Source organism: Homo sapiens, chromosome 9, assembly GCF_000001405.40.
Source record: "Homo sapiens chromosome 9, GRCh38.p14 Primary Assembly".
NCBI classification, from domain to species: domain Eukaryota; kingdom Metazoa; phylum Chordata; class Mammalia; order Primates; family Hominidae; genus Homo; species Homo sapiens.
This window is the reverse complement of record NC_000009.12, coordinates 64,705,734-64,721,664: the sequence shown is the minus strand read 5'-3', so window position 1 is coordinate 64,721,664 and position 15,931 is coordinate 64,705,734. Positions and strand designations below refer to the sequence as shown.

At 52.4% G+C, this 15,931-nt stretch overlaps 1 protein-coding gene and 1 pseudogene across 1 annotated transcript; one reads left to right on the top strand and one right to left on the bottom strand.

The window, feature by feature from the left end:
• Positions 1 to 47: 47 nt before the first annotated feature.
• On the bottom strand, positions 48 to 2,591 carry LOC107987067 (formin-2-like). Its single transcript, XM_024447728.2, has 2 exons — positions 1,283 to 2,591; positions 48 to 698 (listed from the first exon to the last, which is right to left on the bottom strand). The coding sequence occupies exons 1-2, from the start codon at positions 1,741 to 1,743 to the stop codon at positions 602 to 604; spliced, it is 558 nt and encodes a 185-aa protein (XP_024303496.1). The 5' UTR covers positions 1,744 to 2,591; the 3' UTR covers positions 48 to 601.
• On the top strand, positions 12,354 to 15,931 carry BMS1P11 (BMS1 pseudogene 11; annotated as a pseudogene).

Here is a 15,931-nt window from a genome sequence, read left to right as displayed (position 1 = left end):
GGTCAACTCCTGGACTCAAATGATTCTCCAAACTTGGCCTCTCAAAATGTTGGGATTACAGGTATGAGCCACCATGCTTGGCCTAAAAATAGTATTATATTTTTGTATCATATAATTTTCAATTAGGTATTATGAATATTCTGTACAGGAAACACACCCTTAATTACATAGGAATAAACATTTGTTACACTGAGAAAAATCTAATAGAGCTAAAAATAAAAATTAATTTGGAAAGGTCATTAGATACTGATACATTCTTACGTTTATACATTCTTTCATATATTCATATATCCTTTTAACAGTATCAATGGTTTGGAGTTACGTGTACAAAGCCATGACCCATATGTAATACAACTAATAACAGGCACTTACAATTCAAGGCATATTATATACAAAGCTTTAACTTCTTATCAAAATATTTTACTTTTTTCTTTCTGTTTTGGCAGATACTATGAACACAACATTCAACTCACAGACACCATGGAGCCCTTACTAAGCATAAAGTACTGTGAAAGGCCAGGGCTAGGACAGAACTGAGACAGGGCCAGGGATAGGACAGAACTGGGGCAGGGTCATGGCCAGAGAAAAACCAGGGGCAGGGTCACAGCCAGGGACATGAGAGGACCAAGGCCAGGTCCAGAAGCAGGGAAGAACCAGGGCCAGGGCAGGGACATGGCAGGGCCAGGGCCATGGCAGGATCAGGGTCAGCAGAAGGCCAGGGCAGGGCTAGGGTGGCACAGGGCCAAGGCAGGGCAGGGTCAGTGTAGAGCAAGGAACGGGCCAGGGTATGGCAGGGCAGGGACAGGGAGGTCCAGGGCCAGAGTCAGGTCCAGGACATGGACAGGGCAGGGCCAGAAACATGGCAGGACCAGAAAGGGGACAGGGCAAGGGCAAGGCCAGAGAAGGACCATGGGAAAAACATGGCCAGGGAGGGTCCAGGGCAAGGGCAAGTCCAGGGCAGAACCAGAGCCAGAGCAGGCCAAAGGCAGGGCCAGGGCAGGGCAAGGCCAGGATAGGGCAGGGCCAGTGTAGGGTGAGGGTAGGACCAGGGCGAGTTCAGGGCCAGGGCAGGACTAAGATAGCACAGGGCTAAGGCAGGGCCAAAAGGAGGGGCCAGGGCCAAGCATGGCCAGTGTCAGACCTGGGGATTGTCAGGGTCAGGGTCAAGGCTGGTCCAGGGACAGGGCCAGAGCAAGGGCAGGGCCAGGGAGAAAGCAGAACCAGAGAGGATCCAGAGCAAGGCCAGGGTCAGGGCAGAACCAGGACCAGGATAAGGCAAAGCCAAGGCCAGGGCAGGGCAAGACCAGGGAAGGGCAAGGCCAGGGTAGAAAAGGCCAGGGTAGGGCCAGGCCAGGGTAAGAGAAGGCCATGGTAGGGCCAAGGCCAAGGCAGGGCAGGGCTAGGGTAGCACAGGGCACGGCCAAAAACAGAGCAGGGCCATAGCAGTGGCAGGACTAGCAACAGGGCTAGGGCAAGCGCTGGACCAGAGCATGGTGGGGACAATATAGGGCCAGGACAGAGGATGGCAAGGCAGGTCCAGGGCCATTTCATGGACTCAGTAGGCCTGGGGTCAGGCCAGGGCAGGGCAAAGGCAAGGCCAGGAAGAAGGCAGGGCCGGGGCCAAGGCAGTGCCAGGGCAGGGCAGGACCAGTGCAGGGCCAATGCAGGGTGAGGGCAAGGCCAGGGCATGGAAGGGCAGGGCAGGATCAAGGAAGGGCCAGGAGAGGGCCACGGCAGGGTCATGGCGAGAACAAGGGTATGGCTGGGGTCAGGAATATGGTAGGATGAGGGCTGGACCCAGGCTGGGGCACGCAGGGCAGAGCATGGTCTGTGCAAGGCATGGCCAGAGCCAGGCCATAGAGATGGGAGGGCAACACCAAGGCAGAGTCAGGGTAGATCCAGGGCTGAGCAGAGTCAGGGCAGGTCCAGAGTCGAGGCAGAGCTAGGGCCCAAGCAGGGCCATGGTAGCACCAGGGCAGAGGAGGGCAGGGCAATGCAGGACTGGGCCATGGCAGTGCCTGGTCAACTCCGGGGCAGGGCCAGAAGCAGGACAGGGCCAGGGCCAATGCTCAGGCCAGGGACAGGACATGACAGGACGTGCCAGAGCAGGGCTGGGCCAACGTTGGGGCAGGGCAAATCAGACCAGGACACCTCCAAGTCCAGCTCTGGCCCTGCCTTGGCCCTGGCCCCTTCCTGGCCTGACCTTGTCCCTGGCCCTGCCCTATCCATGCCCTGTGTGTTTGACCAGTGTTTTATAACCAGAATCCTACAAGAAACTTAAATTAGTTCTTTTTGTGCATTTTTAGTAGAGATGGGGTTTCACAATGTTGCCCAGGCTGGTTCCAAACTCCTGAGCTCAAGCCATCTGCCTGCCTTGGCCTCCCAAAGTGCTGGGATTACAGGAGTAATCTGGCCAAGTATTTACCTTCTTTTTGCCTGTTTCCTACATTTGGAAAATGGGGATGCTTTAAGTACCTAGCATATAGAATTATTATGAGAATCAATGCCTCACATATTTACATGTTGATAAAATTATACTCATAGAACACTACTGGAAGCAAAGATAGTATTAGTTAAAATTTAGTGATTACCGCAAGTATTATTACTATTACAAACAACATAGTATAGACATTACTACTACTATAGTTATCTTAAAAATCTAAAATAAAAATTTTAGTAATAGCCTAAAGTAATCTCTCCTGCTCTGCCCTGGCTCAGCCCTAGTGCCGGCTCTGCCCCTAGTCCTACTACATCCCTGGCCCTGACCCTTCCCTGGTCCAGCCGCTGCCCTGGCCCTTCCCATCTTCAGGCCTTAACATGGCCCTACCCTGGTCCTGACCCTGCCCTGGTCTGGTCCTGACCCTGGCCCTACCCCAGAGAAGGGGTATGGCAGAGCCAGGGAAGGGCCGGGGCAAATAAGGGACAGGACACATCCAAATCCAGGAACGGGCCAGGGCCATGACAGAGCCAGGGCGAGTCCTTGGCAGGGCCAGGTTCCAGGCCAGGACCAGGAAAATGTCATGGCAGGGTCACTGTATGGCCAAGGTCCAGGCCAAAGCCAAGGCAGTGGCAGGGTCAGGTCTGCATAAGGGCAGGACCAGAGCCAGTGATACGGCAGGGCCAGGGCCAGGGCCAGGGCTGTGCCAGGACAGAACAAGAGCAGAGCAGGGCAGGACCACAGCCAGGCCATAGAGAGAGTAGGGCAAATGCCAAGGCAATGCCAGGGTAGTGCCAGGGCTGAGGCAAGGTCAGGGAAGGTCCAGGGCTGAGTCAAGGCTAGAACCAAGATGGGGCAAAGGCCGGGGCAGATCTAGGGCACAAGCGGGGCAGATCTAGGGCACAAGCAGGGCAAGCTAGGGCAGGGCAATGGCAAGACCAGGCCATGGCAGGGCCAGCCCAGGATAGAACAGGGCACAGGCAGGGCAGGGCCAGGGCCACGGCTGGGGCAGGACAAGGACCAGGACCGGGGTCCAGGCCAGGGCAAGGGTATGGCCAGGGCAGAGGTAGGGCCAGAGCCAGGGTCTGGGCAGGACCAAGGCAGGTCTATTGCAGGGCCAGGGTTCAGACCAGGGCCAGAGCAGGGCTGGGACAGGGCCAGGGCCAGAACCAGGAAAGGGCAATGTCAGGACAAGGGCCATGGCAGGACCAGCAACGGGGCTAGGACCAGTACAGGGACAGGGACAGGGTCAGGGCTAGGGCCAGAATAGCATGCCAGGGTAGAGCCAGGCCAAATTAGGGCCAGGGCTGGGCCAGGGTATGGCCTTAAGTAGTGAAGGGCCAGGGCCAGGGTCCATGCCAGTGCCAGCGCCGGTCCAGGGCAGACGCAGGGCCATGGCCAGGTCTAGGACAAGGCTGTGGCAGGGCCAAGGTCTGGGTCAGGGTCAGCATAAGACCAGGACAGAGCCAGGGGAGGGACAGGGCCATGGTAAGACCAGGTTAAACCATGGACAAGACACCTGCAAATCCACTTCAGGGCCAGGGCAGGGCCAGTTCAGGGCCAGGGTAAGGGCTGCCAGGGTCATTGGCAGGGCCAGGGCCATGGCAGGACCAGGGTCAGGAGCAGGGGTCAATGCCAGGCCAAGGCCACAGATAGGACCAGGTCTGTGCTAGGGCCAGTGTGAGGGCCAAGACGGGGTCAGGGCAGGGCCAAAGGGAGGGCAGGGCCAGGGCAGGGTGGAGCAGGCCCAGGGTAGCACAGGGTTAAGGTAGGGCACGACCAACCAGGGCAGGTCTATGGCTGGGGCCGGGGCAGGGCCAGGGCCGGGGCAGGGCCAGAGCCAGGGCAGGGCCAAGACAGTGGCAGCTCCAGGGCAGGGCCAGGGTTAGGACCACGGACATGTCCAAGGCCAGTGCCAGGGCAAGGGCAAGGGCAGGGGCAGGGCCAGGGTCATCTAAGAATTAGGGACAAAGCCAGGCCCAGAGCTGGGCCAGGACCGGTACCTGCAGGGCTAGGGTCTGGGCCAGGGCCACAACCAGGTCTGTGCTATGGCCAGGTCCAACACAGTGCCCTGGTAAGGCTAGGGTGAAGGCCAAGGTAGGGCCAGGGCAGGGTCAAAGCCAGGCTAGGGCCAAGGCAGGGCCAGGAAAGCATAGGGCCAGGGCAGGGCAGGGCCAGGGCAGGGCCAGGCCAGTGCCAAGACCTGGGCAGGGCCAGGGCCAGGGCCATAGAAACGGCCTGGGCAGGACCAGGTTTGGGGCAGGAGCAAAACAAGGGCAAGGACAGTGCAGGTTCTTGGCACAGCCAGGGTCCAGGACAGTGTCAGGGCAGGGCCAAGGCAGGGTCTGGGCCATGGTAAGACCAGCAACAGGGCTGGGGCTAGGTCAGTGACAGGACCAGAGTCAGGGCAAGGGCCAGAGCAGGGCAAGGCCAGGGTAGGGCCAGGCATTTCAGGGTCAGGGCCATGGGAGAACCAGGGCAAGGTCTCAAGCAGGGAAGGGCCAGGGCCAGGACAGGTCCAGGGCAGGGTCATGACAGGGCCAGGGGCTGCATTAGGGCAAGGGCAGGGCCAGAGCAAGGTAAGGGTCAGGGCCAAGGCTAGGGTAGGGACAGGGCAAGAAATATGGCAGGACCAGGGGCAATGCCAAGGCCAAGGCTGAGTCAGGGCTGAGTCAGGGCAGGGCAGGGCAGGGCATGGTATGGCCAGTGCAGGACAGGACAAGAGCCGGTCCACAGAGAGAGCAGGGCTGATGCCAAGAATGAGCCAGGCTAGTGCCAAGGCTGAGGCAGTGTCAGAGCATGTCCAGGGCAGGGCCGGGGCCAGGGCCAGAACCGAGCCAGGGCACAGCCAAGGCAGGGTAGGGCGGGGAAATAGCGTGGCCGGGTCAGTACTGGGACAGGGCAGAGCAGGGCAAGGCGATGGTAGGGGCAGGGCAGAGACAGGCCAATGCAGAGCCATGTTACACCGGGGCCAGGACACCTCCAAGTCCACTTCAGGGCCAAAGCTATGGCAGGACAAAGACCAGGGCCAGGGTCAGAGCCAGGTCTGTGCTGGGCCTAGCGAAGACTAGGGTGAGGGCCAAGGCAAGGCCAGGGCAGGGTCAAAGGCAGAGTAGAGCCAGGGCAGGGTGATGACACATCCAGAGCACAGCAGGGCAGGGTGATGGCAAGACCAGGGGCAGACCACTGCCAGCTCAGGGCCAGGGAAAGACCAGTGCAGAGCCAGGAAAGGGTCTGGGTCTGGGTCAGGGCCAGGAACAAGGCAGAGCAGGGCCAGGGCCATGGCAGAGTCAGGGCAGGTCCTTGACAGGACCAGGTTCCAGGCCAGGGCCAGGGCAGCAGCAGGGGCAGGGCCTGGATAAGGGCAGGGTCAGGGATATGGCAGGACCAGGGCTAGGGCCAGGGCCAGGGCCAGGCCATAGTGAGGGCAGGGCAAAAGCCAAGGCAGGGTCAGGGCAGGTCCAGGGCAGGTCCAGGAAGCGGCCAGCACCAAGCGGGGCCAAGGCACAACCAGCGCAGGGTAAGGCAGGGCAATGGCACCACTGGGCCATGACAGGGCCAGGTCAGTGCCAGGAGAGGGCAGAACAGGAAGGCCCATGGTGGGGCCAGGGCAGGGATGGGCCAAAGCAGAGCCAGGACATTTCCAAGGCCAGGTCAGGGCCAGAACAGGAGCAGGACCATGACCACTGGCAGGGCCAGTGCCATGACAGGACCAGGGTCAGGACAAGGGGCAGAGCCAGAGCCAAGGTCAGGCCAGTGCAGGTTCAGGGCAGGGCCAGTGCCAGGGCAAGACCAGGGCAGGGACAGGGTAGCACGGGGCCAAGACAGGGTCAGGATGGGACCAGAGCAGGACAGGGCTGAGAGTCCAGGTAACAGTAGGGCAGGTACAGGGCAAGGCAGGGCAGTACAGGGCCAGATCCACGGCAGGCACAGGGCAAAGCCAGGCCCATTGCCAATGCACCAGCCCTCCCTACAAGGCTCCTACCACCTGGCCACTGCTGCAGCCCGTCCATCGCTGTAAGCCTGACTCCCAACCCTGCCTGCAGCCGCCCGCCCTCCTAGCGTGGCCACTCTCCTACCACTCTGGCGCACTGCAGTCTCCGTCACTGCCACCCACCCGCAGCGAGGTGAGCCGTGGTGTTGCAGGCTCTAGGTGTCTCCTCCTCCTCCTGGCATGGAGCAGCTGGGCGGGCAAAGCCAGAAAAGCCTAGAGGAAGTTGTGAGGAGTGGAAGCGTTAGAGCCTCAAGTTGTCGTGCCGGCCACTGGGTGGCAGGGGCCAGTTTCAGCAAAGGCACTCACACCCACCCTCCAAAGTCCAGCCTCTCCTTTTGGCCCAAGCTGGCTGGGAACTGGGGTCTGGGGTGGGTGCTGGAGACACCACAGCACCCAGCTCCCCACTCCACAGGAACCACTGGGCCCACCGGGGCTGCACTCCTCGGGGAACAGGAGAAGCAGAAAAATTCAGACCCAGCCAGCCCTCCGCACCCAGGTGCCAATTCCTGTTCCGGATGCCTCCACACACAGGGCCCTGTTCCCCGTGGTGTCCCCAGGGGTGCCTGGCAGCCTCTGAGGCACAGACCCAGAGTGCACAGGCTCAGGAACCACGGTGGGTGTGGGGGCTCTGCCATGCTCAGGATTCCCATGCAAACGCTGCGTGCCCTGCCGCACTCCAGTATGACCAAGAGTGGTTCGCCCTCTGGAGTGTGGAGTCAGGGAGAGGAGAACCACTCCTTCCTTGGATGCCAACTCTGTTGACTGCCGCCAGCAGTGCAGCCCCTGATAGCACCGAACTCGCCCCCGCTCCACGGCTAGTCCTGCCCTCAATAGCGCCCCCCACCTCCGTCCCCCAATGCCGCCAGTAGCATATACCCGATATGCCCTAACCTGTCCTCCTCCATGGGCATTGCAGCCCCAGAAAGCACCCATAACCCACCCTCCCTGCTGTGGGCAGTGCAGCCCTGTGCAGTGCTACCAACCAGTACCCCTAATGCAGGCAATGACACCCTGGATAGCGCCCCCAACCCACCCCACACTGCGAAAGGTGCAGCCCTGGATAGCCCCTGTCCTACCACTCTGGTCATGCTGCAGTCTCTGTCACTGCCACCACCAACTACAGTGAGGCAAGCCAGTGGGCCGCAGGCTCTAGCTCCCAGCAGCCAGGCATGGAGCAGCTCTCGCTGATGGCCGGCTCCTACCACACTGACCATGCTGCTCTCTGTCTCCGTGGCAATCTTCTTTCACTACAAAGAAATAAAACTAGGTATCAATAAGAAAAGTAATTTTGGAAACAATACAATCACATGGAAGTTAAACACTACCCTCCTGAATAAATGACCTGAATAAATAAAGGTCAATGAAGATACTAAGACAGAAATTCAAAAATTTCATGAAACAAAGGGTAATGAAAACACAGTATACCAAAACTTGTTACGCAGAAAGCAGTACAAAGGCAGAGATTTACAGCTATAAGTGCCTACCATCCAAACAAAAGAAAAACTTCAAATAAACAATACATCTTAAAGAACTAGTAAAGTAAGAACAAACTAAACCGAAAATAAGAAAATAAATAAGATCGTAGCAGAAACAAAATTGAAATAAAAAACACACAAGATTAAACGAAAAGTTGGTTTTCTGGAAAGCTAAACAAAATTGACAAACTTTTAACCAGCCTAAGAAAAGAGACAAGATTCAAATAAATAAAATCAACAGATTAAAAAAAGGAGACATTACAACTAATACTTCAGAAATTCAAAGGATCATAACTGGCTATTATATGCCAATAAATTGGAAAGCCTAGTAGAAATTGGCAAATTCCTAGATGCATACAACCTACTTAGGTTAAACAATGAAAACATCCAAGACCAGAACAGATTGGTAACAAGTAATGAGATTGAAGCCATCAGAAAAAGTCTCCCAGTAAAGAAAAGCCCAGGAACTGATGATGTCTTCACTGCTGATGGCTTCACACCAAACAATTTAAAGACCTAGTACAAATCCTGCTCAAATTATTTTGAAAAACAGGAGGGAATACTTCCAAACTTATTCTATGAGACCATTATTACTGTGATACGAAAATCAGATAAAAGCATCAAAGAAGAAAACTACAGGACAGGATCTCTAATATTGATGCAAAAATCCTCAACAGAATACCAGTGAATCAAATTCAGTAATACATTAAAAAGATAATTCATCATGATCAACTGGGATGTATCCCTGGAATGCAAGAGTCACTCAACATACAATGTGATACATCATATCAACCAAATAAACGACAAAAACCGTATGATCATGTCAACTGAAACCAAAAAAGCATGTGATGAAATTCAACATCCCTTCATGCTATAAATCCTCAAAGAAACAGGCACAGAAGAAACATACCGCAACATAATAAAAACTACAGGAAAGACACCCACAGCTAGAATCATATGGAATGGGGAAAAATGGAAAGCTTTTCCTCTAAGATCTGGAACATGATAAGGATGCCCCCTGTCACCACTGTTGTTTAACATAGTACCAGAAATCCTAGCTAAAGCAATCAGTGCAGCCCCTGATATGGCCCCCAACCCACCCTGCCCCCTACCACCAGCAGTGTCGCCCCCCCCCAATAGCACACCCAACATACCCTAACCGCCCCGCCTCCCCGCACCATGGGCATTACAGCAGCCCATAGCGCCCTCAACCCAAAACCGCCACCCCCCCCCACAGCCACACAGTGCAGCCCCAGATAGCACACTTAACCCACCTCACTGTTGCCAGCAATACAGTCTGGGATAGTGCCCCCAACCGGCTCCCCGCCAAAGGCAGTGCAGCCCCGGTTTGAGCCCCCAAACCGCCCCCCCCCCGCCCCCGGGCAGGCAGCACAGCCCCAGATAGCACACCCAACCAGCCACCCAAGACGGGCAGTGACGCCTGAGATAGGGCTCCCAACCCGTCCCAGGCCACCAGCAGTGCAGCCTGGATGGCGCACTTACCCCAATGCCTTTCTACACTGGCTGGCTGCAGTCTCCATCGCTGCCACCAACCACAAACATGGCTGCAAACAGGAAGGATTTTATTCACCGTCGATGCGGCCCCGAGTTGTCCCAAAGCGAGGCAGTGCCCCAAGGTCTATGCAGAGCAGAACGCAGCTCCGCCCTCGCAATGCTCTCCGGGTCTGTGCCGAGGAGAACGCAGCTCCGCCCTTGCAAAGGCACACAGCGCCGGTGCCGGCGTGGCGGAGAAGCGGACAGCGGCGGAGAGGCGGTCGGCGGCGGCGCGGCGGAGAGGCGGTCGGCGGCGGCGCGGCGGAGAGGCGGTCGGCGGCGGGGCGGCGGAGAGGCGGTCGGCGGCGGGGCGGCGGAGAGGCGGGCGGCGGCGGCGCGGCGGAGAGGCGGGCGGCGGCGGCGCGGCGGAGAGGCGGGCGGCGGCGGCGAGGCGGGCGGCGGCGGCGAGGCGGGCGGCGGCGGCGCGGCGGAGAGCGGCGGCGCGGCGGAGAGCGGCGGCGCGGCGGAGAGCGGCGGAGAGGCGCACAGCGGCGGCGCAGGCGCACAGCGGCGGCGCAGGCGCGGAGAGGCGCAGGCCCAGGCTCCACTCCCCAGCTCTGAAAACTCATCCTGGTCAGAGTTCAGAAGGACATGTGGAGTATAAGGTCAGATGCGGAGATAAAGGGAGATGGTGTGGCCCTCCTGCCTGGGGGTGCTGAGCAGGTTGCTGGAGGCGGTGATCTCACTCTGAAGGAGACAGACACAGAAATGTGTGTACAGTTGATGGTGAGCATCTGAGTTGCGTCTTGTTAGTGAGGCCAGGAGTGCCTGTGTAAGCTGGAACAGATTAGGTATATGATTTGTGAAACGGAGTTTCATCCTAGATCTTCATCTAGTCAAAGGACTGTTTCCTGATTAGGCATTAGCTTAGTGGTTGCTAGTCTGTGTTGACCTTTGAAAGGCATGACTAGGCTAACTCTGAAGTTTCTGCTTCACACCATTTACAATTTAAAATTACCTAGAGCCTTGTGGGCCATTGGAAGAGACTGAATGTTTCACTCTGAAATGGGAGTCCTTGGAGGGTTTTGAGCAGAGGAGAGACATTCAGGTAATCAGATCACTCTGCCAAGACATCAGTCCGGTAGAGATCAGTCCGGTGGCACAAACCAGAGGGCTGGCAGTGGAGATGAGACAAAGAGTCAAACCCGGATAGAGTTTATTTGGAAGCTGGGTCAGTAGGATCTCCTGGTGGACTGAATGTGGGGTGTGTGAGGAAATGAGGATGGCGACTGGAAGTTCCTGGAAGGATGGGTTGTTGCAGGTTAGATAGGAAACTGTCTGCAGATGCAGTTTTGGGAAGATGATGTTTGTTTCGGCTGGGTATCATGCAGACAAGCGGAGTGTCAAGTCTGGAGAGACAGGTCTGGCCAGGGACTTAGATGTACAGCCCTCAGCATGTAGATGCCACTTAACTCTGTGAGGTGGCCGGGGAGTGAGTGCAGAGTGACTGGGAGGAGCAAGACTGGCATGGGCGAGATGGGGCGATTGCGGCCGTGAGGCCTGAGCAGTGCCTAGGAGGGAGAGGGAGAAGCAGTGTGAGCCTGCAGGCACGCAGGAGTCCAGTTGTACACGGAGGCGAAACACTGTTCAGATCCCGCTGCAGTGTTAACTATGGTAAAGGCAGAGTTGACCACCGGAGGAGTCCTTCAGCGTGGAGGCCTTCAGCGATCTTGGCAAGCACCAATTTTCATGGATGTAGGAGAATGGGAGCAGAGGAACTGGAGGCTGCAACTGTGGAAAACTTTTGTGGGGTTTTGCTGCAGAGAGAAGCAGAGAAATGAAGCAGTTTTTGGTGGAAGAAGTGGAATCAAAAGGTTTTGAGATGAGAGAGAGAACAGAGGGAAGAGCTGTTGGAATAAAGTCCAGGAAGAGTGGATGGTGTCTAGTGAGCAAGTGATGTGTGGCCCTGAGTAGAGGCATGGACAAATCATCTGTGCCTGAGCTGCCCGTAGAACTTTCTGTGATCATGGAGATGCACATCTGTGCTTCCCAATATTGTAACACTGGCCACAGGTTGATACGGACCACTTCCAGTGTGACTAGTGTGATTGAGGAACTGCATTTTAAATATTATGTAATTGTAATTAATTTTAATTTAAATAGCCACACATAGCTCCTCTATGGGGCAGGTCAGAGCTCTGATAAGGCTGGATATGGGAGGAAACCCTGGTATAGGGTTGACCGTAGAGGTTCTTTTGGTTTTGGAGTGAATCAGGAAACAGCCATCAGCTGAGTGAAGGTGAGGGTGGTGGTGGGTGTTTGAAGACAAGGGAAAAGTGTGAAAGAATTATTTGGAGAGGAAGGAAAGAAAGTGTGGACTGGGGATGTTTCTAATGTTTGAGCACGCAGGGCTCCACAGTTATCTACATTTGCTGTCCCTTGGAGCAGGAGAGAAGAAAATGGTTGGGACATATTCTGAACAGACTGTAGAGGTAAAATGTGTAGGGTTTTTTTTTGTTTTTTTGTTTTTTGAGATGGAATCTCGCTCTATTGCCCAGGCTGGAGTGCAGTGGCACGATCTTGACTCACTGCAACCTCCGTCTCCCAGGTTCAAGCGATTCTCTCACCTCTGCCTCCTGAGTAGTTGGGACTACAGGCACGCACCACCATGCCCAGCTGATTTTGGTATTTTTAGTAGAGACAGGGTTTCACCATGTTGGCGAGGCTGGTTTCAAACTCCTGACCTCATGTGATCTGCCCGCCTCGGCCTCCCAAAGTGCTGGATTACAGGCATGAGCCACTGTACCCGGCCAAATGTGTAGTATTTTTAATAGGATAAAGCCTACATAATTCTGTCCACAGTTCCTTTACTTAGAAATTGCTCATTTGTTCATGTTAATCCTATGTTTATTACAAATAACAGCATACAGGTTTCCGCCCCCCCCCACCCCATCATGTACAGCTGAATCACGTAGAATTTGAAGATCAAGATGATGAAGCCAGAGTTCAGTATGAGGGTTTTCGACCTGGGATGTATGTCCGCGTTGAGATTGAAAATGTTCCCTGTGAATTTGTGCAGAACTTTGACCCCCATTACCCCATTATCCTGGGTGGCTTGGGCAACAGTGAGGGAAATGTTGGACACGTGCAGGTGGGTCCCTTTGCTGCGTATTTGGTGCCTGAGGCTCTGTGGATTTCCCCTCCATCAATCATCTTACCCTCTCATCCCCTTCAGATGCGTCTGAAGAAGCATCGCTGGTATAAGAAAATCCTCAAGTCCCAAGATCCAATCATATTTTCTGTAGGGTGGAGGAGGTTTCAGACCATCCTGCTCTATTATATCGAAGACCACAATGGAAGACAAAGGCTTCTAAAGTATACGCCACAGCACATCCATTGTGGAGCAGCCTTTTGGGGTAAAATATGATTACAATAACTTGCCTATTGCCGAGATTAAACTTTACAGGCTGTGTTATTTTAGCTTTGTGCTTTTCCTTTCATAAAATTCCACTCCTAAGATGTTTCTCTTTTCTGGGAGCGGGGAGGTGGTTTGGAGTATATATGTACATCTATATCCAAATCTAAGTGTCCATATCCAGTATGTTAAACTAGAATCTAAAATTTCTGGTTTGCTATATTTCTTTTTTTCCTTTTCCTTTAAGACCCTATCACTCCACAGGGAACTGGTTTCTTGGCAATACAGTCTGTCAGTGGCATAATGGTAACTATCTTGGACGATTTCTTTTACAGATTGGTTTGAGAAATATATCCTGAATGTGGGTTATTATGTACATGAGACTTTAAGTTGAAAATTACTCATTTTTATTAATATAAAGTAAATTTCCCTTTGCTTTTAATCTTCGTACATCCTTTTCAGTAGGGTGTGGGATTAGAGGAGGGGAGGTGGAAGAATTATAATGGTACATTTCCTATTTTTATGCATCTTTTGCATTTATTTATCCAAGCAAGTATTTAAGCAGTGCTCACCATGTGCTAAGCACTATATGAGGTTATGAGGAGCCATCAGAGACCACCCAGACACAAGACTCCCTGCAGCTGTGCTGGGGTAGCATTCTGTTCACTCCATTTTCATTTGACCAGTCAGGCAGGGCAGGGTTTACTGGTCCCATTTAACAGAGAAGAAAGCAGAATAATGAGCAGATGGAATCTTCCCTGGAGGTCCAAATTTTAATTTCCTAAACATTGCAACTGTATTTTTCTTTTCCATTTCGTTCCAAATAAATTATTATAGTAAAATTACATTCCTCTGAAATCACTCTCAGGAAAGTACTCAAGTAGCCTTTTTTTTTCTTTCTTTTTTTTTTTTTTTTTTTTTTGAGACCGAGTCACACTCTGTCTTCCAGGCTGGAGTGCAGTGGCACGATCTTGGCTCGCTGCAACCTCTGCCTCCTGGGTTTAAGCGGTTCTCCTGCCTCGGCCTCCCGAGTAGCTGGGATTACAGGTATGCACCATCATGCCGAGCTAATTTTTGTATTTTTAGTAGAGACGGAATTTCGCCATGTTGGCCAGACTGGTTTCAAACTTCTGACCTCAGGTGATCCACCTGCCTTGGCCTCCCAAAGTGCTGGGATTACAGGTATGAGCCACTGTGCCTGGCCTCAAGTCACCCTTGTTAGTTTGGCTTACCAACTTTAAAGTTTTGGATTGCTTTTGTCAAACCAATGGGTTGCAAGTTCAGATGGTCTCTCTTGTTTTTCTTAACTAATTGTAAGTAAAATTCACTTTGGTAATTTATTGTGTCACATAGAATTGAAGTTTTTCTCTTGCTAATATTATTCCTATTTTCAAATTTTGGGGCTCCTGTTAGCCTGATTTTCGGATAGCTGCCACAGGAGTTGTCCTTGATCTGGATAAATCCATAAAAATTGTGAAGAAATTAAAGCTAACTGGTTTTCCATATAAAATTTTCAAGAACACTTCATTTATTAAGGTCTGTATATCTATATATTCTCATATTTATAAATGTCCATATTGTTTGAGAAAAGGAATGAAATACCTCTAAAATGTGGGCCTCTTATTTTTAGAAAAGTGTTTGAAATCTTTTATAAACTTCATATTTTGTTTGCTCCTTTATATTCTGTATTACTTAAATATGCGCAAAAAAGCAGTGGTAAACAGCTATTTAGGAATTGAGGCTGTTACTCCTGACTTCCATGTGAGACTGCCACAGAACTCATATTGAAAATATGTCATTTTATCCACTAGGTTTTGTTTCCTACTTTTTAAATTGGTGTTAAGAAAGGGAAAAAAATCACAAGTTTGTCTAACTCAGTAGAAAAATCGACAAAGCATTTGCAGACAACTTGGCAAGGGTACAGAGAAATGGATGTACTGTTTTTCAGTATTTTGGGAGGGTGGTTTGAGCAGCATTTATTGACAATTTCATTAGTGGGGATGTTTCTATTGAAAACAGAGTTAGGAAGTCATAAAATGTTCTTGCAATATAAGGTAATAATACCACTGGCGTTTATCTTACTGTTTTCATGTTCTAAGTGCATGCATCTGAGTAAAAGGATCTGGGCTGCAGTCCAGTCTGAGAGATGCCAGCAAAGGCTTCCTAGGCCAATTCAGTCCAGTAAATCCCTCTTCGATCTTCTCTTCCACACAGACAGCAGTGATGAGCATGCCCATGAACTCACATGATTATTTTGGGGAAAATGAAAGAGTTGTATTCTTTTTGAGGTAGTAATTCCACTTTCAGGGGCAAATACATTTTGATTATTTTATCACCCTTCAGTGAGTTGTTTTTGTTCTTTAATCACGGATGTATGTTTGAAGTAAGAAGTAAAGCATAAAGTATATGATTTTGTGTGTGTGTGTGTTTTTATCTTGCTATACCTGTAGGGAATGTTTAATTCTGCCTTGGAAGTGGCCAAATTTGAAGATGCTGTGATTCGAACTGTCAGTGGGATAAGGGGGCAGATCAAGAGAGCACTCTGAGCTCCAGAAGGAGCTTTCCAGGATAGCTTTGAGGATAAGCTGCGGATGAGCGGTGAGTGTCTTAAGTAGTGTTCAGGGCAGGGTGTTACCATTCATGCTTGACTTCTAGCCAGTGTGACGAGAGGCTGGAGTCAGGTCTCCAGAGAGTTGAGCAGCTCCAGCCTTAGATCTCCCAGTCTTATGCAGTGTGCCCATTTGCCTTGTGTCTGCAGTCCCCTGGCCACACTCAGTAACAGTTCTTTGATCTATAAGAATAGTTTCCTTAGCGAGCTTTCCCTTCAAATACTTTGCAGTCAGGTAGAGAAGTTTGGAGTGAAGATTTTGTTCTTTGTTTCTTCACAATATGGATATGAATCTTCTTTTGAAAACGTTAAAGTAAATTACCTCTTTTCAGATATTGTCTTCATGCGAACTTGGTATCCTGTTTCCATCCCAGCCTTCTATAACCCAGTAACATCTTTGTTGAAACCAGTGGGTGAGAAAGACACCTGGTCAGGAATGTGGACCACGGGCCAACTCAGGCTCGCCCATGGTGTCAGACTAAAGACAAACAAGGACTCTCTGTATAAG

Coding starts and splice junctions, on each gene's coding strand:
- LOC107987067 (XM_024447728.2), bottom strand. CDS start 1,743: ATGACCCTGCCGTGGCCCTCTCCTGGCCCTTCCTTGATCCTGCCCTGC. Junction 699..1,282: donor CTTGCCCTGCCCTGGCCTTG/GCTTTGCCTTAT, acceptor TGCTGACCCTGA/TCCTGCCATGGCCCTGGCCC.